Source organism: Homo sapiens, chromosome 9 (assembly GCF_000001405.40).
Source record: "Homo sapiens chromosome 9, GRCh38.p14 Primary Assembly".
NCBI lineage: Eukaryota > Metazoa > Chordata > Mammalia > Primates > Hominidae > Homo > Homo sapiens.
The window spans coordinates 67,057,057-67,078,828 of NC_000009.12; the positions used below are offsets into that span (position 1 = coordinate 67,057,057).

A 21,772-nucleotide genomic window follows, 5' to 3' on the forward strand; every position below is an offset into this window, starting at 1 on the left:
TCATGCCTTCATTTGTTCAGTAAGTGTGTAGTGTGTGATGATTGTGACGGATGCTTCTCTATTAGGCAAAGTAATTTTTAGAGCCTCACTACTCTTAGTCTGCAAAGTTCATTGACAGCATTATCACCACAGCAAGTGTCTATGCTGATTTAAATAATAACCATATAGCAGCAATTATAGCCACATAAAATGCATTTCAAGACACACATTTATGTCTAAGGACTTCAAGTCCCCTAACCAAACAACTTAAGTAGAATAAACCTAAATAAGTTTTAAGTCAAAAGCAGGGGAATCAAAACAATTACAAGCCTCCTGTCTTAGAAGAAAATGCTGATGCTTATTGGCTTAACCATATAAAATAGTGTATATACGTTTACTAGACATGAACAACTTGGAACAAATTTTGAGTGTACCTATAAGTGTGTAAAATGTATATTTTATGTATTGGGAATAATATTCATAAACATATTCCTCCAATGTTGTAAAAAATGCATTCACCCTCACTACGCTAGTGATTTTACAGTTTAATGAAGCCATTTTTTTAATTGCAAATGTCTACCACCGTAGAAGTTTCTTGTCCTTTCTCCATTAAGCCTAACACTTTGAACACCCAAGTTCACTTTTTTTTTTTTTTTGTCTTGAGACGGAGTCTGGCTCTGTCGCCAAGCTAGAGTGCAGGGCGCAATGTTGGCTTGCTGCAACCTCTGCCTCCCGGGTTCAAGCGATTCTCCTGCCTCAGCCTCCCGAGTAGCTGGGACTACAGGCAGGCACCACCACGCCCGGCTAATTTTTTGTATTTTAATAGAGACGGGGTTTCACCATGTTGGCCAGGATGGGCTCCATCTCCTGACCTCTTGGCCTCCTCGGCCTCCCAAAGTGCTGAGATTACAGGCATGAGCCGCTGCACCCGGCCAAGTTCACATTTTTAAAGACTCCATCTGATGCCTGACAAATTGGTATAATAATAGATTGACATTTGTTGTTTTACTCTAGGTCCAATTTAGAAAATGATTTCCATTTTCTCTCTGTCTCACTGAAGGCAACTGATCTGTCAATCAAAACTTTAGATTTATAATTTTTTCTGTAATAAAAGACGTGCTATTTACAGAGTTCTTGTGCAAAAGTAGTTTAAGTGAACCCAATTTATAATTCAAGAATGACTTTGTAAGTTTCTTCATCTATTACACTTGAATTCATTTTACATTTTACATCTATTACATTTGAATTCATTTTAATGAAAAAGCCTTTCAAAGTTGTCTTTCCAAAGGGAAGATTAATACACTATTTCTTAGAGATACCATCTAAAAAAGTTAGTATCTTTCTTTCTTTTTTCTTTTTTGGAAACTCGCGGTGGTGGTAATGTGAGTGAGTTTGTCAATCTTTGCCCCTACTGTGAATTTGAGAAGCAGAGGAAGAGAAAAAGAGAAAGACCCCCCCGCCCCCTGCCTCCCGCCTCCCGCCTCTGCCCCTCTCTCTAGCACACAGCAGGCGCGCAAGGAGTGCAGTGTTAGCTGCTGCTGGACTGAGCTCCTCATCCTACACTTGCAGGGGTTGCTCTTTTGGACAGAAAGCTGGAATAAAACATAAATTTTAGACTTCCACCAAGGCCAGGACTAGGGTGAAGGGACTAACGCACTAGTCTCAGGAGCAACTGTTAAGTAACGCTAATCCTGAATGAATGAAATAGTTTTAAAATTGAATGTAATCGCAAAGAAAAAAAACCCATGATAGACAAAATATTAAAACTTTAAATAAAGGCTTGCACTCGCACAACCCAGGCTCACCGGCCTCTCCCTGCTCCTGGCCCGGTTTCCCAGCTTGGTTCTCTACAAGTCAGAATTCCTAGCAAAATCAAAGTGTGCGCGCGTCTGCCCGAGTACACGCCGCAGAGTTATTTCTGCCCCATCTTCCCTATTTGAACTCAAACAGGACAGGATTTTCCTGGGTGCAGCCCCTGCGTTGGGTGAACAGCAGAGTGATAAAGCCTGGCGTTCTCCACCTGCAGGCGGAGGCTGACGGCGCGGTCTTTGGCACGAGTCCGTGCACCGCGGCCGCCCCGCCCCGGTGGGAGAGAGGGACGGAGGAAGCTGCCGGTATAACGGGAGGAGAGCGCCAGGCGGAGCTGGGGCGTCCCTCCCGCTCGCTTCTTGACTCGCGTTGCTGCCGGCCGCCTCCCGCGCCTAGTGTCCGGGACGCGCCTGAACCTGCCGCCTCCGTGCCTGGGGCGGCGCCGCGCGGCCCCGAGCGCTCCAGAAAGCTGCGGCGCGAGTCCGCGGGGCCGACCTCGGAGACGCAGCTGGGGCCGGGCGCGGCTTGGCGGGAGGGTCTGCAGCGCCGAGGGAGGCTGCCAGTGCGTGAGGAAGAGAGCTAGAGACTGGACAGGGGAGACAGAGCAGCGTCGGAGCCGCGCAGGGGACGGGAGTGAGAGCGGGAGTGAGAGCAGGAACGACGCAGAGCGGCCGTCGCCTTGCCCGGGTCTCAGGGCGCCTGGCTGAAGAGAGCATGGCTTCAGTGGCCTGGGCCGTCCTCAAGGTGCTGCTGCTTCTCCCCACTCAGACTTGGAGCCCCGTAGGAGCAGGAAATCCACGTAAGTACAGCAAATGGTTTAAAACTTGCGCTAGGCTGTCTGGAAAACTTTGTATTTTTTTATTATCGGTAATATTTGGAAGTGGAATTGCAGAACATGCTCCTGAACATGAAGAACCTTAAAAAAATATTTGGAATTGCAACCCGAAAAAGACGATTTTGTTTACAATAGACTTTCCTCTTGTGGGGGAGTCTAAGATATACCATGCATGTTTTGACTTTTTAATCGATGTTCTTGAATATTCATTGAGAAAGTGGCCGTTTCTGTAAAACCTGAAAAGAGCATCTTAATAAGAGATTAGCCTGCAAATGCTGTCATTTATTCCTTTTTAGGATTGTAATATTTTGTAGGAATTAAGTCTAACAGGGAAAAAACTGGCAGACATTACATCATACTGCATCAACTTAGATGTTAGCAGCTTACAGTTTTGCCGACCTTGGCAGCTTCAGAGTTAAAATGCTAATTAACTTCCACGCAGTATAGGGACAGAGCGCCTGTAGGCGAAACTAAATTAATAACCTGCCCTAACTACTAAGGGAATAACACTTGAACACCCCTGTCAGGGGCTTCGTTTCTCAGTAGAAAGTTCTTGGTTAAAGACAAAACTCAGCCAGTCATTTAGGTGATCTTGAAAATGATTCCTCTCTGGATGCTAATATTTTACATTATTTAATTTGCCATCGGGTTCCCTGTTTTTTATTTTCCTTAATTTGGTAAACACCTAGGAAGCTTTTATTTCTAGAATGGGCTATGATTCTACATCATATGTAGTATCCTCATATCTAATAAATTTTACTAATTTTAAATTACCTTTTAGATCAAGTAATTCTTCCAGATAAAACTATGTAACTATAATAATTATACCACCTTCAATACCAAGAAGAAAGTCAATAAGGACATCTAAAAGTTTCCTTCTCATGTAGACACCATGAGTTGCTCACGTTATTCACAGCTGGTTTTCCAGAAGCACATTGGCCACCCACGAAGGCAGCCTGTTGATGATGGCATGAAATGGCTCTTCATGGGAAGAGCTCTCTAGGCCGGGCACAGTGGCTCATGTCTGTAATCCCAGCACTTTGGGAGGCCGAGGTGGGTGGATCACCTGAGGTCAGGAGTTCGAGACCAGCTTGGCCACCATGGTGAAACCCTGTCTCTACTAAAAATACAAAAATTAGCCGGGCGTGGTGGCAGGCATCTGTAATTCCAGCTACTCGGGAGGCTGAGGCAGGAGAATCGCTTGAACCTGGGAGGTGGAGGTTGCAGTGAGCTGAGATCCCACCATAGCACTCCAGCCTGGGCAACAAGAGCAAAACGCAAAACTCCGTCTCAAAAAAAAAAAAGCTCTCTAAACATTTGGCATTTTGGGGATTATGTGCAGTTTATCTGAATGTTATTTGACCCGACAAATACATGGGAAAGCTTTGTTAGGAAGATTCTGCATGAAGGGAAATATTTTCGTAACTTCAGTGCCCATAGACTTGCACTGAGTGAAAGGTCACTTACTGCTCTCATTGAGTCCCTGAAAACAACAGGAAGCATCAAGAGAAAGATTGAACTCTGGGCACTGATCCCAGGGATACACAAACAAATGGCTGGGCAGATTTTGCAGAAATTCCTGTAATTGGTAAAATGCTGAGTAATAGCCTTTGATGTAACTTTTCAGTGGGTTAATTTATTCATTACTTAGCCTAAAACACTTTTAATTTTAATTGCCTCAATTTTTTCCCCTAAATGGTTATGTTTTGCAAGTTCGCTAGCCAGCCTGGGGAAAGAAGGGTAAGCCTACTATAGAGTGTGTGTGGGTTAGTTAGGAAACTCACTTAGATGTGAAATGTGTCAGGAAAGAGATCTCACAGAGTGTAGGAATAATTATTTTTACAGATGTTTCATTTTGGACCTTTTAGTAATACCATTTTAAGAGAGATTCTGCAGATGAATAACAGACTCTTAATTTTAGTGTCAAATGGTACTCTATAAAAAATGGAGTTCAGGCTGGGCACGGTGGCTCACACCTGTAATCTCAGCACTTTGGGAGGCTGAGGCGGGTGGATCACTTGAGGTCGGGAGTTCGAAACCAGCCTGGACAACACGGTGAAACCCCGCCTCTACTAAAAATATGAAAAAATTTCAGGGCATGGTGGCAGGTGCCTGTGAGGAGGCAGTGAGCTGAGATCGTGCCACTGCACTCCAGCCTGGGTGACGGAGTGAGACTCTGTCTCAAAAAAAAAAACAAAAAAAACCCCAAAAAATGTAGTTCACATGCCTTTATTCATTTTCACCAAACTCTATACAAACAGTATGGAGCAGAAGTAGCCCATGGAAATGATAATTAATTCCAAGACATTGGTTTGATCATGAAAAAAGAAAAATCAAATTACTTGGCATTCTTCTTCCTCTTCCTCTCCCCTTCTCTTTTTGAACAATTCAGTCCAAGGTCATTCAGTTCGGCTTAGGCATCCATGCTGGGTAGTGGGGAGGCCCAGGACCATGGCAGAGCATTCAGAAACCAGCAGGGTAAGGAAAGCATCCACAGTATAGCAAGGGTGGGGACCTGGAGAGACAGGAGACAGCACTGGTGGTGACCTATAGCAAGTTGTCAGAAGTTGAGTGGAGTGAGGAAGGAGGCATTCCAGATTGACAGAGGCTAAGAAAACAAGGCAACTAAATACTATTCTGCATTAAATGCTTATGTTATAAAGGACATGATTGGGAATTGGTGAAACTTGAACAAGATTGGGGATTAAATATTGGAACTTTATCCATGATGACTGTGATGATCATATTATGGTTATATAGGAGAACATCTTTGTTGTAGGAAATGTACATTGAAGTATTCAGGGGTGATACAGCATATTAGCATAGTTCTTCCATGTTTTCTGTAAATTGGTTTCAAAATCAAATGGTTACTTTAAAAAACCATTCAAAATTGTGTTTAAAGGAAACATGGACCAATAGAAAAACTCAGAATAAGTAAATGTAGTTAAATTGATGTATTTTACCTAAGAGATGTAGACTAAAAATAAAGAGGCTGAAAAAAAACAATTATGAGAAATAACAGTTCATTTATATATGTCTCTAAATCAAATTAGCCTGGATTTCTGAATGACAAAGATGTAATTGGCACTGGGATTGTTCTCCATTCTTTTTGGGAAGTTTATTGCCTAGGACATCTGTATCAGTCTTCGAAGTACTTTTTAAAGCTTGAATATCTGAATGAACCCGTCAGACTGACTGTTATCTGGTCTTCTGTAATGGGCTTCCGCACCTTTGACGAGACTCTTAGCTGAAAGGTTGCTTGTCCCTAGGCCCGGTTGCTGCACGTTGTAAGAGCATTTGCAAACGCTTGGTTGTACATGATTGTGCACATGTCAAGTCTGCTCTGTCACTGTAGAAAAAATATTCCTTTTCCACTTGACATATAAAGCATGGAATTGTTTGTTTTAAATGTATTTTGTCAAGGAATTCATATATCTGCTTGATGTGTTGTGGTACTGTATAAAAGACAAGTGTGAAATTCATTGCTTACTATGATAGCCTTAACAGGACTACAGTAAATCTAGTTTTCTAAAAAACGGAGTATATGCTTAGCTTGGTTAAAATTTTATAATGAAATGACTACTCTGGTAATAAAAATTAAAAAATATCATAAAGTGGGGGCTAAAAAATGATACTGCATGTGTTCCAGTTAATGAACATTTTTGTTGTAATAATACGAAGAGTGATTGAAATCTAAAAACATTCGAGATTTTAAAATAGTTTTAACCTTATAACTACAGGATTGTAATTTAAGTAGCATACCTACTTAATAAGGCAGCAATTAAAATTATTGCTAAGAATTAAATTACCAAGAAGACGTGGTCTAGTATGTATTGCCTGGGCTGTGGTTTGAATTACTTTTGATTAAGTATAATCACATTTTTTGAGAGTATAAAAACAGAGGATATTACTTGCTTCTAATTCACAGATGTGTTTATGAACCATTGGCAATTAAAGCATTTGCAATTGAGGCCCTAAGAAAATTTTAGGTTAAAATAACATGTTGAGTTATGCCTTATAACTCAGTATATGCTTATACTTTATATGCTTTACGGAGTTTTGAATATATAATATATATGTATAATAGTATATTTTTCCAGGAAATATATAACTTGTAGTTCCTTGACTTATTTTGTAACTAAATCCCGTGGAAAAAAGTTTATTGAATGTCATTGTTTCTCAGGCAAATGTGGAGTTAGGAAAATGATATATATACATATTGGGAATCTTTTAGAAGGCTTGGACTTGGTAGCTCAAATCTTCTGCAACCTTGAGCTTCAACTTTCTGGCCGGTTCAAGAGATCTCTTCACTGTCCTTTTCATGTAAAGTCAATGTTTATGGAACACTAGACCAAAATGGAAGGATTCCTTTGGAAACTGAACAAACAGTTGAATTAGTCTTTGACTTGATGGGGTGATTTGATCTAAAATATTACCTATCAGTTTTAGATATCTGTTCAATCAGAGCTGCCTCCATATATGCAAATGATAATTTGTCTTGGATTTTTAGATATCTTAGCCCTCAGACAAGCTAATAGAGTTTAAATTGAACCTGGTGTTTTAGGGACAGTTGAATTGTTGGGGTGCCCAGGAAAACAGTCACATTTTTCTATAAGTATGTGTTTATTTGGCTGGAATGTGGGTGAGGAAGAAGTTATATGTGAATTAAAAGAAACATTGTCTCAATGTCACATGTTAAATTAAATTAAATTACAGGCAGAACTAAGCGAGTTTACGATTGCTGCCGCTGGGAGCAGAGACTATTTTCAGCTTACATTTATAACAGAAGGAGGGATTTAAAATATAGTATTATGCCTACCCTGATACAGCTAACCTCCTCCACCCGCCCCTCCACACACATACAGCTACATGCTTACCCTCGAACTATGAAAGAAGGGTGTCTCTCAGACATCCTATATTTAACCCAGCTTTGGACAGGTCCCTGGAGTCTAGTCTTTTTGAACACAGCAGTGAAGATAAGGAATGGGGAGGGGGCTTTGATTTCAAGACCACTAGATATAGTAGATTCCTAATTTAATTTCAAAGACAAATCAATTATTAACACAAATACAAAGAGAACAGTATTTTAAGCAAAGCTTCTGTTGTGGCAGATAACCTTTTAAGGTGTCTCCCAGTTGGGTTTCTATTTTAGATGACTTTTTGAAGAATATATCTCTGTAATAGAAACATGTTTGATGATTCTCATCTTTAAGAACTGCACATTTGCTATAATTAAGATATTTATGAATTTATTGTAAGAAGATTGGTAGAAAAAGTAATGCAACATCAAATGGGAAAATAAATATATAATATTATATAGCTGTTCAAATATAGGGTTTATGATTCTTGTGCTAATTTGAACTGCTGTACAACACCAGGAGAAAAGTCCACAGCTGTGTTAAGAAAGCTCTTATAAGCTTATGAAATTTTATAGCACAGGCTGTCACAGAACCTACAATTTACAAACATTTGTAAAAGTTAGGAAAGTTTTGGGTTCCTCAATAGAAAATGATGTTGCTTAGCTTTAAGAAAGTAACTAATTTATCTCTTTTTATTCTTGTCCACTAACAAAGGAACCCAAATGGTCTTTTAAAATTATAATAAAACTAAGCTAGTAAAATATCACATAGATTTTGAGATACTGTGAATAACCATAGAAAATAACAATTTGTTATTCTTCATGTATAAAAATAAGCTTAACACGCTTATCAATACATCTTGAACTATAAGAGATTTATTTCAGCAGTGTTGCCAAAGGGCAAGCAATGCCTGCTGCCCATAGAAAACTTTGAATTCCCTAAGCTCGGGGCTCCTCACTTGTCATGTAACCCACTGCGTGTGCACACATCCATCTGTGCCCATCCATATTCCCCCAGAGGACTTGGAGGCAAGGAAATTGATGCAAATATGCTGATGCTCATATTGTTTGCTATGCTGTAAGTAATACAGTCCTTTGCTTTGACCCAGAAGTCTTCTGCCGCAACCATGAAACAAACTGGCAGACTCATTTGTTAGCTTGCAAGTAGGGTAAAATCTCTCCTCACGGTTCTTCACAGTGTACTTGTCTGTGCAGTGGTCATCTTCTTCATGAATATAATTATAACATGATATAAGAAATAGTGAGCTCTTACCTATAGATAAGCAAACATTGCAATATAAAAATAGCATATGTCATTTCATAAATCACAGTTGACACATTCTAGAGAAGAGATTGGGCAGCCTTCCTTTTTTGGATGTCACAGTTGATTCTACTGTCCTCATTTCTTCTTCTCTTTTCTGGGATATGAGGAAGAATTGCTGTGACAAAGCTCATCTCCTGGGTGGCCGGGGTTGATTGTCAATTTGTTTTGTTTTGGCAGGCTAGGCAGATGTCCTCTACCTCCTTCTTTATGCCATGTGACATTCATCCCTTTGATTTTCCTATTGCATTTTATTTAGTATTTTAGAATACTGCCCACATTCCATTCTGGAAAGTCCACTGTCCCAGCCAGAGTTTTCTTAGAAAGCTGAGCCTGTGATGGGCGTTTGTGCAGGTAGCCTCTTTTAGAAAGTGAGCACATAAAAGAGGGAAGAATGGAATAGAGAAGAAAAATCCACCAAAAGGGGGTGTCATTGAGCTGGTCACTTCTGTGAGCAACTGGGGCACGAACTCCCTGGGAAGCTCTCAGGAAGCCGGTAGAATGTGTTTCACAGCTGTGCCTCTGAGAGACAGCAGGGGGAATGCATTTATCCCGAGTCCTGTCCAGGGATTCAGCACTGCCCTTGGGGTGCTAACTCCTGGCTCTAAGGAGAGGAATATGAATGAATGGGTTGTGACTGGGTTTCTGCAGGCATCGCAGAGGCCAAGAGACAAAGAGAGAACTCGAACACTGAACTTTTCAATTTTTTATTATTTTATTATTATTATACTTTAAGTTACAGGGTACATGTGCACAACGTGCAGGTTTGTTGCATATGTATACATGTGCCATGTTGGTGTGCTGCACCCATTAACTCATCATTTAGCATTAGGTATATCTCCTAATGCTATCCCTCCCCCCTCCCCCCACCCCGTGACAGTCCCCGTTGTGTAGTGTTCCCCTTCCTGTGTCCATGTGTTCTCATTGTTCAGTTCCCACCTATGAGTGAGAACATGCGGTGTTTGGTTTTTTGTCCTTGCGATAGTTTGCTGAGAATGATGGTTTCCAGCTTCATCCATGTCCCTACAAAGGACATGAACTCATCATTTTTTATGGCTGCATTGTATTCCATGGTGTATATGTGCCACATTTTCTTAATCCAGTCTATCATTGATTGACATTTGGGTTGGTTCCAAGTCTTGCTATTGTGAATAGTGCTGCAATAAACATACGTGTGCATGTGTCTTTATAGCAGCATGATTTATAATCCTTTGGGTATATACCCAGTAATGGGATGGCTGGGTCAAATGGTATTTCTAGTTCTAGATCCCTGAGGAATGGCCACACTGACTTCCACAATGGTTGAACTAGTTTACAGTCCCACCAACAGTGTAAAAGTGTTCCTATTTCTCCACATCCTCTCCAGCACCTGTTGTTTCCTGACTTTTTAATGATCGTCATTCTAACTGGGGTGAGATGGTATCTCATTGTGGTTTTTGATTTGCATTTGATTGCCAGTGGTGATGAGCATTTTTTCGTGTGTTTTTTGGCTGCATAAATGTCTTCTTTAGAGAAGTGTCTGTTCATATCCTTTGCTCACTTTTTGATGGGATTGTTGTTTTTTCTCTTGTAAATTTGTTTGAGTTCATTGTAGATTCTGGATGTTAGCCCTTTGTCAGATGAGTAGGTTGCAAAAATTTCCTTCCATTCTGTAGGTTGCCTGTTCACTCTGATGGTAGTTTCTTTTGCTCTGTAGAAGCTCTTTAGTTTAATTAGATCCCATTTGTCAATTTTGGCTTTTGTTGTCATTGTTTTTGGTGTTTTAGACATGAAGTCCTTGCCCATGACTGTGTCCTGAATGGTATTGCCTAGGTTTTCTTCTAGGGTTTTTATGGTTTTAGGTCTAACATTTAAGTCTTTAATCCATCTTGAATTAATTTTTGTATAAGGTGTAAGGAAGGGATCCAGTTTCAGCTTTCTACTTATGGCTAGCCAGTTTTCCCAGCACCATTTATTAAATAGGGAATCCTTTCCCCATTGCTTATTTTTGTCAGGTTTCTCAAAGATCAGATAGTTGTAGATATGTGGCATTATTTCTGAGGGCTCCGTTCTGTTGTTCTATATCTCTGTTTTGGTACCAGTACCATGCTGTTTTGGTTACTGTAGCCTTGTAGTATAGTTTGAAGTCAGGTAGTGTGATGCCTCCAGCTTTGTTCTTTTGGCTTAGGATTGACTTGGCAATGCGGGCTCTTTTTTGGTTCCATATGAACTTTAAAGTAGTTTTTTCCAATTCTGTGAAGAAAGTCATTGGTAGCTTGATGGGGATGGCATTGAATCTATAAATTACCTTGGGAAGTATGGCCATTTTCATGATACTGATTCTTCCTACCCATGAGCATGGAATGTTCTTTCGTTTGTTTGTATCCTCTTTTATTTCCTTGAGCAGTGGTTTGTAGTTCTCCTTGAAGAGGTCCTTCACATCCCTTGTAAGTTGGATTCCTAGGTATTTTATCCTCTTTGAAGCAATTGTGAATGGGAGTTCACTCATGATTTGGAGCTCTGTTTGTCTGTTATTGGTGTATAAGAATGCTTGTGATTTTTGCACATTGATTTTGTATCAAATCAAGATACAAAATCTTGATTTTGTATCAAATCAAGATACAAAATCTTGATTTTGTATCAAATCAAGATACAAAATCTTGATTTTGTATCAAATCAAGATACAAAATCTTGATTTTGTATCAAATCAAGATACAAAATCTTGATTTTGTATCAAATCAAGATACAAAATCTTGATTTTGAGACTTTGCTGAAGTTGCTTATCAGCTTAAGGAGATTTTGGGCTGAGACGATGGGGTTTTCTAGATACACAATCATGTCATCTGCAAACAGGGACAATTTGACTTCCTCTTTTCCTAATTGAATGCCCTTTATTTCCTTCTCCTGCCTGATTGCCCTGGCCAGAACTTCCAACACTATGTTGAATAGGAGTGGTGAGAGAGGGCATCCTGTCTTGTGCCAGTTTTCAAAGGGAATGCTTCCAGTTTTTGTCCATTCAGTATGATATTGGCTGTGGGTTTGTCATAGATAGCTCTTATTATTTTGAGATAGGTGCCATCAATACCTAATTTGTTGAGAGTTTTTAGCATGAAGTGTCTTTGAATTTTGTCAAAGGCCTTTTCTGCATCTATTGAGATAATCATGAGGTTTTTGTCATTGGTTCTGTTTATATGCTGGATTACGTTTATTGATTTTCGTATGTTGAACCAGCCTTGCGTCCCAGGGCTGAAGCCCACTTGATCATGGTGGATAAGCTTTTTGATGTGTTGCTGTATTCAGTTTGCCAGTATTTTATTGAGGATTTTTGCATCAATGTTCATCAAGGATATTGGTCTAAAATTCTCTTTTTTGGTTGTGTCTCTGCCCGGCTTTGGTATCAGGATGATGCTGGCCTCATAAAATGAGTTAGGGAGGATTCCCTCTTTTTCTGTTGATTGGAATAGTTTCAGAAGGAATGGTACCAGTTCCTCCTTGTACCTCTGGTAGAATTGGGCTGTGAATCCATCTGGTCCTGGACTTTTTTTGGTTGGTAAGCTATTACTTATTGCCTCAATTTCAGAGCCTGTTATTGGTCTATTCAGAGATTCAACTTCTTCCTGGTTTAGTCTTGGGAGGATGTATGTGTTGAGGAATTTATCCATTTCTTCTAGATTTTCTAGTTTCTTTGCGTAGAGGTGTTTATAGTATTCTCTGATGGTAGTTTGTATTTCTGTGGGATCGGTGGTGATATCCCCTTTGTCATTTTTTATTGTTTCTATTTGATTCTTCTCTCTTTTCTTCTTTATTAGTCTTCCTAGTGGTCTATCAATTTTGTTGATCTTTCCAAAAAACCAGCTCTTGGATTCATTGATTTTTTGAAGGGTTTTTTTGTGTCTCTATTTCCTTCAGTTCTGCTCTGATCTTAGTTATTTCTTGCCTTCTGCTAGCTTTTGAATGTGTTTGCTCTTGCTTCTCTGGTTCTTTTAATTGTGATGTTAGGGTGTCAATTTTAGATCTTTCCTGCTTTCTTTTTCGGGCATTTAGTGCTATAAATTTCCCTCTCCACGCTGCTTTAAATGTGTCCCAGAGATTCTGGTATGTTGTGTGTTTGTTCTCATTGGTTTCAAAGAACATCTTTATTTCTGCCTTCATTTTGTTATGTACCCAGTAGTCATTCAGGAGCAGGTTGTTCAGTTTCCATGTAGTCGAGCAGTTTTGAGTGAGTTTCTTAATCCTGAGTTCTAGTTTGATTGCACTGTGGTCTGAGAGACAGTTTGTTATAATTTCTGTTCTTTTACGTTTGCCGAGGAGTGCTTTACTTCCAACTATGTGGTCAATTTTGGAGTAAGTGTGATGTGGTGCTGAGAAGAATATATATTCTATTGATTTGGGGTGGAGAGTTCTGTAGATGTCTATTAGGTCTGCTTGGTGCAGAGCTGAGTTCAATTCCTGGATATCCTTTTTAACTTTCTGTCTCGTTGATCTGTCTAATGTTGACAGTGGTGTGTTAAAGTCTCCCATTGTTATTGTGTGGAAGTCTAAGTCTGTTTGTACGCCTCTAAGGACTTGCTTTATGAATCTGGGTGCTCCTGTACTGGGTGCATATATATTTAGGATATTTAACCCTTCTTGTTGAATTGATCCCTTTACCATTATGTAATGGCCTTCTTTGTCTCTTTTGATCTTTGTTGGTTTAAAGTCTGTTTTATCAGAGACTAGGATTCCAACCCCTGCTTTTTTTTTGTTTTCCCTTTGCTTGGCAGACCTTCCTCCATACCTTTATTTTGAGCCTATGTGTGTCTCTGCACGTGAGCAGGGTCTGCTGAATACAGCACACTGATTGGTCTTGACTCTTTATCCAATTTGCCACTCTGTGTCTTTTAATTGGAGGATTTAGCCTATTTACATTTAAGGTTAATATTGCTATGTGTGAATTTGATCCTGTCATTATGATGTTAACTGGTTATTTTGCTCATTAGTTGATGCAGTTTCTTCCTGGCCTTGATGGTCTTTACAATTTGGCATGTTTTTGCAGTGGCTGGTACTGGTTGTTCCTTTCCATGTTTAGTGCTTCCTTCAGGAGCTCTTGTAAGGCAGGCCTGGTGGTGACAGAATCTCTCAGCATTTGCTTGTCTGTAAAGGATTTTATTTCTCCTTCAGTTATGAAGCTTAGTTTGGCTGGATATGAAATTCTGGGTTGAAAATTCTTTTCTTTAAGAATGTTGAATATTGGCCCCCACTCTCTTCTGGCTTGTAGAGTTTCTGCCGAGAGATCCGCTGTTAGTCTGATGGGCTTCCCTTTGTGAGTAACCCGACCTTTCTCTCTGGCTGCCCTTAATATTTTTTCCTTCATTTCAAGTTTGGTGAATCTTTTCACAGTCACATATTTCTTGGAGGCTTTGTTCGTTTCTTTTTACTCTTTTTTCTCTAAACTTCTTTTCTCGCTTCATTTCATTCATTTGATCTTCAATCACTGATACCCTTTCTTCCAGTTGATCGGATTGGCTACTGAAGCTTGTGCATGCGTCATGTAGTTCTCGTGCCATGGTTTTCAGCTCCATCTGGTCATTTAAGGTCTTCTCTACGCTGTTTATTCTAGTTAGCTATTCGTCTAATCCTTTTTCAAGGTTTTTAGCTTCTTTGCGACGGGTTCGAACATCCTCCTTTAGCTCGGAGAAGTTTGTTATTACCGATCATCTGAAACCTTCTTCTCTCAACTCGTCAAAGTCATTCTCCATCCAGCTTTGTTCCGTTGCTGGCGAGGCGTTGTGTTCCTTTGGAGGAGAAGAGGCGCTCTGAGTTTTAGAATTTTCAGCTTTTCTGCTCTGGTTTCTCCCCATCTTTGTGGTTTTATGTACCTTTGGTCTTTGATGGTGGTGACGTACAGATGGGGTTTTGTGTGGTTGTCCTTTCTGTTTGTTAGTTTTCCTTCTAAGAGTCAGGACCCTCAGCTGCAGGTCTGTTGGAGTTTGCTGGAGGTCCAGTCCAGACCCTGTTTGCCTGGGTATCACCAGCAGAGGCTGCAGAACAGCAAATATTGCAGAATGGCAAATGTTGCTGTCTGATCCTTTCTCTGGAAGCTTCGTCTCAGAGGGGCACCTGGCTGTACGCGGTGTCAGTCAGCCCCTACTGGGAGGTGTCTCCCAGTTAGGCTACGCAGGGGTCAGGGACCCACTTAAGGAGGCAGTCTTTCCATTCTCAGATCTCAAACTCCATGCTGGGAGAACCACTACTGTCACCAAAGCTCAGTCGGAAATTCAGAAATCACCTGTCTTCTGCGTCGTTCATGCTGGGAGCTGTAGACTGGAGCTGTTCCTATTCGACCATCTTGGATCCGGACCTGTCTATTTTCTTAGCCTTATGAGCTTTGTCAAAAGAGTGCAGCTTCTTCTGGTTTTTCTTATGAGTATACAAAAAATCTCTTTGATTGCGTTTAGCAATGTTTGAAAGTCTTAATTTGTTCTGGGCTTTAACTCACTTTGCTTTATATTGCCTCCTTTTAATGTTCCTTTTCATTGTAAGTATTTCTTTTTTTTTTCCGATATGGAGTCTTGCTCTGTCACCTAGGCTGGAGAGCAGTGGCACAATCTTGGCTCACTGCAACCTCTGCCTCCCGGGTTCCAGTAATTCTCCTGCCTCAGCCTCCCGAGTAGCTGGGATTGCAAGTTCCCGCTACCATGCCCAGCTAATTTTTGTATTTTTACTAGAGATGGAGTTTCACCATGTTGGCCAGGCTCGTCTCAAACTCCTGACCTTGTGATCCACCCATCTTGACCACTGCACCCAGCCTCACTGTAAATATTCTTTCCTTGGTTACTTTGCCCATTTCTCTCTTCTTCAGTGGAACATGTTTTTTCTGGGTTTCATTTGGGTAGCTTTTCACATTTGATGAACGATGTTGTCCTCAATCATAACAACAGTGTCTCTTTGTATAGTGGTTGCTCGGAGGTCTACAAGGTAGTATTATGTAACATTTCCCATTGTGTTCTAAATACTCTTATCTTTTTAAGTTAAAAAATTGAAGTCAAAGCTGCCTCTAAAGTCACACACATAGCTTGAAATAATAGAGTTGAAATTTGGACATAAAACATATTGCCATGGGATAATGCCTGTTGTTTTCCTAAAGTTTTAAAATTATCTTTTTGACATCTCAAATAAACATTTGTCTATTGACAGGGCTCCTTCCTTGGGCACAATAAATTCTAAGATGTTCTGGTTATTATTTTCTCAAGGATTCTGACACTGCCACCTTACTAATCATATTAGAGCCAAGTACGGAGTAGTGAACAAGTTCTGATAATTTGCAGGTTTATTACTTTGGGCTGAAAAAAATCTAGCTGATGTCATTGGTCTTGTTGGGATCTGTCTTCAGAATGCAATTGGAGTGCATCTCTTAACCCTTACTTAAGTATCACTGAAGTTCTCTTTCTTCAGCTCCCAGATGCTCCATAGCCTGCTCTGGCCTGTGAGGTCATGAGGTCCCTTTAAGATGTTATAAGTTGAACACAGTCTTCTTTCCATCCCTCTGTAACATGTCTTGGGAAGAAGCCATATCCTTCTCATACCTTATATTCTCATTCAGACCCTAATTCTGTCAACTCTCAGAGGTGCATAGAAAGAATTATTATTATTTTTAATTTTTTTAGTTTTTAATTTTGTGGTTGCATAGTAGGTGTATATATTGATGGGCTACATGAGATGTTTTGATACAGGCATGCAATGTGAAATAAGTGCATCAAGAAAAATGGAGTATCCATCCCCTCAAGCAATTATCCTTCGCGTTGCAAACAATCCAATTACACTCTTTAAGTTATTTAAAAATGTACAATTAAGTAATTATTGACTATAGTCATCTCTTGTGTTATCAAATACTAGGTGTTATTCATTTTTTCTATTTTTTTGTACCCGTGGAAAGATCATTTATTGCCCTTTATTAACAGTTCATCTTTATCACTTATATTCCCACAGCTGTGGATACATTCGTAAGAACAATTATTAGTGATGACATCGCCACATGATTTTCTTTTTAAATTATATGCACCTGTGTTGTTGTATTTTTTTCTGTGTCGTGTCTGATGTCTTTCTGCAGGACTTAATTTTGTTATTTGGTTTCCTCTCTTTCTACTTAGCAGTAAGTCTCAAAAAAATAGGTTCGTCTTATTCTCGTATTATATACTTTAGCCAAAAATCTATAGTTTAAAAATTGGTATTGAATTTATCACAGAAGTATAATTTAACTACATAGCAAGAAATTTAGAAATAAAAGGAAAGAGAACAAGATCATCTATCCAGCTTCCTCAGGGAAAAGGAGCTGATCTATGTTGAATCCCTTCTGTGTTTCTAGAGCTGTGTTTGTTGGATTTAACACCCATTATCTCATCTCAATCCAGCAGATCTCTTTGTCCATTATCTTCTCATATGCAGATTTTCCCATCCCATCTCCTTCATCTCTCCACATGTTTAAATAGTTCTTATATTTATTGTTGTAATGACTGTAGAGTAGATCGTCAAATTAAGATGCTTAAATTTATGTAAACTTGACCGGGCATGGTGGCTCACGCCTGTAATCCCAGCACTTTGGGAGGTTGAGGCAGGTGGATCATGAGATCAGGAGATCGATACCATCCTGGCTAACATGGTGAAACCCCGTGTCTACTAAAAATACAAAAAAAAAATTAGCCTGGGCGACAGGGCGAGGCTCCGTCTCAAAAAAAAAAAAAAAAAAACTCTGTAAACTTTCCTCTAGGTCTTCATTTGTGTTGTGTCTTTTGTAGTTCTCATAGAATAAAGTCCTTGGTCCTGGTATGTTAAAATTGGTATGCTGTTGTTATAACTTTATATTTGTAGTGCTGTAAGTCATTTGAAAACACCAATGTCAGGAGGTATTCAATGTTCCTATGCTAGGTTTTCTTTAACAAGTCAAAATGTCATCTGGAAGGAGAGACAACGTGTAACCCCTATCTCCTACCCCCTGTAAATTCTAATTTATAGAATTTAAACCTGTTTCTATGTGTCTTCTTCCAAGCCTCATCTGTTCCCACAGGTAGACTGTAGGAATTGTCTGTCATGTCCCGGGAACCAGACACTCATCAGCTGGTCATGCCAGTCTCTCTTCCTCACCCCAGAATCATCAGTCAGCAGGCAAGGCTCCTTTCTTGGGAGTGAGGTTCTCCTGTTCCCTCTCATCCCCATCTGCCGCCGCACGTGGCTGCTGTGTGGCTCCCTGTGAGTGAGGTGCTGCTCCTTCTCCAGAGGTGTAATTCATTTTCCATGAGACAGACCTCAGTATTTCAGAAGAGTAAGCCTTACTGGGGCCTTCACACATGTGAGAAGACTTCAGAGCAGAGACAAAACTTGAGTTGAGCCCTGAAGATAATAAGTGATGGGAACTCGCAGACAGGAGGGGCTGCAATGTCATCGGGTGAGCGGTCAAGGAGCGTTGGTGCATGCATCCCACATTCAGGAAACAGTGAGAAGACCACTCCAATTAAAGGAGGAAGCGCATCTGAGAAATGTGTAGGGGATTCGGCTGTAGTGCAGAGAGTGACAGGGAACAGGTGATGGAAGGAATTGAATGCCAGGACCTGAAATTTGAATTTCAGGACAGGTGCAGTGGGGATCCATTGGAGCTGGTTGATATGGCTGTTTGTGTGACTTGCACTCAGCAATAGTTTAAAACTGTTTCTGCTCTGGTGATATGTAAGGTGTGTGTGTGGCTGGGGACAGTCAATAAGGAAACATTGGCTGTAAGGATTAGTTAGGTCATTAACATGAGGACCTACAGTGAGATGATGATCATGATAATGGAAAAGCTGCCATATACACACAAAAAGTACATAATCCTTGTCAATTTATTGGCTGTAAAGGGAAGATAAGGGTGGGGGCTCAGGACAGTGTACTTATTGAGCATTTTTCAGTTTCAGGTGACCAAAATCTAAGATCAAATAGGCTTGAATAATAAAGGGAACCAAAGTGTCTTGATTGAAGCCAGGCTGAATTTAGGCAATCAGATTCTTTCATCAGCAGTCTGCCTCTTTCCTTCTTGCAGTTTTATTTTCATCTACAACTGGCCTCATTCTTGGGCAGCTCTGTCTATGCCTTAGCTTCAGGCATACCGTTTACCAGCTTAGGAGCGTGACTATTTTCCTTTATTTCTGTTCTTAGCAATGTTGAGTTCTACAGATATTATGCCTTTATTTGTTTATTCTACTCAGTAGGATAAGCTTCACAGGAGCAGAGACTTTTTCTGTTGTTTATGGTTATATCCCCAGAACATAGGGGCACACCTGGCACAGTATAGATTTTCAACAAATATTTGTTGAATGAATGAATGGGTATTTCTTCCAAGAGTTCAAGCCGAAAGTCCCAGGTTCTGCTGTTATTCATTCGAAAGTCCCAGGTTCTGTTCCCATTCATTCAGCGTGGGCTTCCTGACCATCCTGGAACCAGTCCTTTCCAGTAGGACAGGCATGGCATTCAGTTGCCAGGCCTGAGGCGTGTCCCTGTGCTGGCCCCAGGTGGTAGGGTGAGCCCCCTTCAGACCCCATGGAGTGAGATGTAGGGAAGACAGTGACTGAAGATAATCGAATGGAGATCAAGACCATGTAAAACAGAAGTTTTTATATGGAAAAAAGTAGATTTTTACATTGACCATCACTGCTTATGTTCACTGTGAGTAAAATGTACTTTTTCCAAAGCATTCCCTCTAGATAGCAATGCACAGATCAATTCAGATTCATAACAAGATGAACTTTTGGTACCTTCTAAATAAAAGCATTATTTAACCTCTCATTAAGATAATGTTAAGGTACATTAAGAACTGAAAAGACAGGTGATGAAATGGGAAGAATGGAATAGCGCCGTATCCAGATGAACATCCAGACGTGGCCTGAAGAAGGTATGGGCACCCCCTTCCCTGTTTGTGATTCGATTCCCGAGGCTGTGCTCCCTGCTGACTCAATATGTGGAACCAGAGAGAAGCCTGCTGTGGAGTTAGTGAATTTGACCTAATCGAGACAGTCTGAGAAAGGACAGGAATCTTTTTTTTTTTCTTTTTTCTTTTTTTAGAACAAAGAGGTTTTCTGTACATCTGTGATAACACAGTAACCATCTGTTGAACTCTTTAATAATAGGCTTTGTGTTTTTCTGATAATTCGAAGCTTGTTAAGGTGCCGTCCCCTCATATTAGCAATTCGGTGGCCCCTTCCCCTCTCCTTCCATCGTTAGGTTCCGCCGACACAGTGCTTAGCTCCTTTCACAGTGAGGAGCAAGTGCAGCCGCAAGCATGGGGAGAGCCACAGCCTGGCAGAGTGGCTTAGCATCATGAAGCCCTTCTCAGAAGGAATTGAGTATCTGTGCGATTCAAAAGGATGTTAATCGTATTTTCAGTGGAACTCTCCTGCATTTGCCCTAAAATATCCAATATGTAATTCCATATAAACAGTGTGTTCATTTCCTATGGCCCTTGTGAGAAATGACCATAAACTGGCTGACTTAAAGCAAAAGAATTTATTCTGTCATAGTCTGGAGACCAGAAGTTCCGCATCAGTATCCCTAGTCCAAAATCAAGATGGGCCACACTCCCTATGAAGGCTCTAGGGGGACATCCATTCTTCGTTTCTTCCGGCTTCCTGTGGTTGCCCGTGTGCCTCACCTTGTGGGTGCCTCACTCCATTTTCACACCCTCTTCTCTTTTGTGTGGGGCTCTGTTCATCATCACCTTTATCTCTCTTACAAGGGCAGTTCTGATGGTATTTAAGACCCAGCCAGATAATTCAAGATAATTTCCTCGTCTCAGGGTCTTTGATCACATCTGGAGAACCTTACCTTCTGAAGTAACCTTCACAGGGTCCCGGGATTGGGGCATAGACATATCTTTGGGAGCCACTGTCAGCCTGTCCTAACACATGTAAGATTCATCTCTGATAAAGGCATTCAGCCACAAGTGCAGTGTGGTTTGGTCTTTTAATAAAATCCTTTAAGTAATACTGTAATGAATTCGGAGCTCCATCTGGAGATGCCAGGAGGTGTCCTCATTTGAATGTAAAGCTCCTCCCCATAGGATCAGTTGTCGCCCCTCCTTTTGGCTTTTCCCATCTCCTCTGCAGATACGGACAAAATCTGTCCATGTATTATCCATGCATTCTTTTTTTTTTTTCATTCTTATTATCAGATCCCAGAATAATGAATTGCTGTTTGAAAATGCATGGTTTATGTTTATCTTTTCCAGAAGCACTTTTATACGCATCTCTCCCTAGTACTGTTTGCTCTTTCAGAGGCTGGTTTTGTTCCTAAGCAATTAAGATGCTTCCCTGTGTTTTGGAATAAATAGTAGTATCTAAATATTTTGCTCTTCTGTTTATTTCCTATAACAGATATTTACACATCTCCCTCCCATGTTAGATTCTGGACTTCTTGAACCTAGAACTATGTCTCTCTTTATGCCCCATAATGCTTTGCACATGGTAGGTGCTCAATACACTTTTATTAAATAAGTGCAAGAATTAACATAAATGAAACGCTGTTTTGAAAAGTATATCATCTCTGTCTTAGGTAAGGGCAATTCCTCAAATTGATTTTTTAATCATTTCATATTCATGTGGTAAAAATTGTCATAAACTAGCACATCTGTGAATGCAATGTTGATTTGTATACAGGAAGCCCTTAGGCTAATTTTAATCTTCTGCTGTCTTTCATGAACATAATACTAAGAAATGGTTTCTGTCCCAAACCGTTCATAGGCACCATGCTGGGAATCACAAAGCATGCTGGGAATACTTGTCAAGGAGAAGTGGAAAGCTAAGAGTGATGCCAGGCAGGGGTCAGGGGACAAACCAAGACCATAGAGTGGGGAGAGAGGAACCTAGGCAGAGCTAATCGCCGAGACTAAATCAACAAGCCTAGGGAAGTGCAGCAAGCCAAAAACCCTCTGGTCTAGCGTGCATCTTCAAAGTTGTCACTTGAGGTGGCTGCATGGAAGGTGGCAGGTGGG

General features: G+C 40.5%; 1 pseudogene across 1 annotated transcript in view; it reads left to right on the forward strand.

Annotated features, from left to right (window-relative positions):
* The first annotated feature begins 2,403 nt into the window (after nucleotides 1-2,403).
* CNTNAP3P2 (CNTNAP3 pseudogene 2) overlaps nucleotides 2,404-21,772 on the forward strand; it is a 237,697-nt pseudogene continuing 218,328 nt past the window's right edge. Inside the window, exon 1 of the transcript NR_111893.2 lies at nucleotides 2,404-2,587. The product of NR_111893.2 is annotated as a CNTNAP3 pseudogene 2 (transcript). The remainder of the gene's footprint in view (nucleotides 2,588-21,772) is intronic.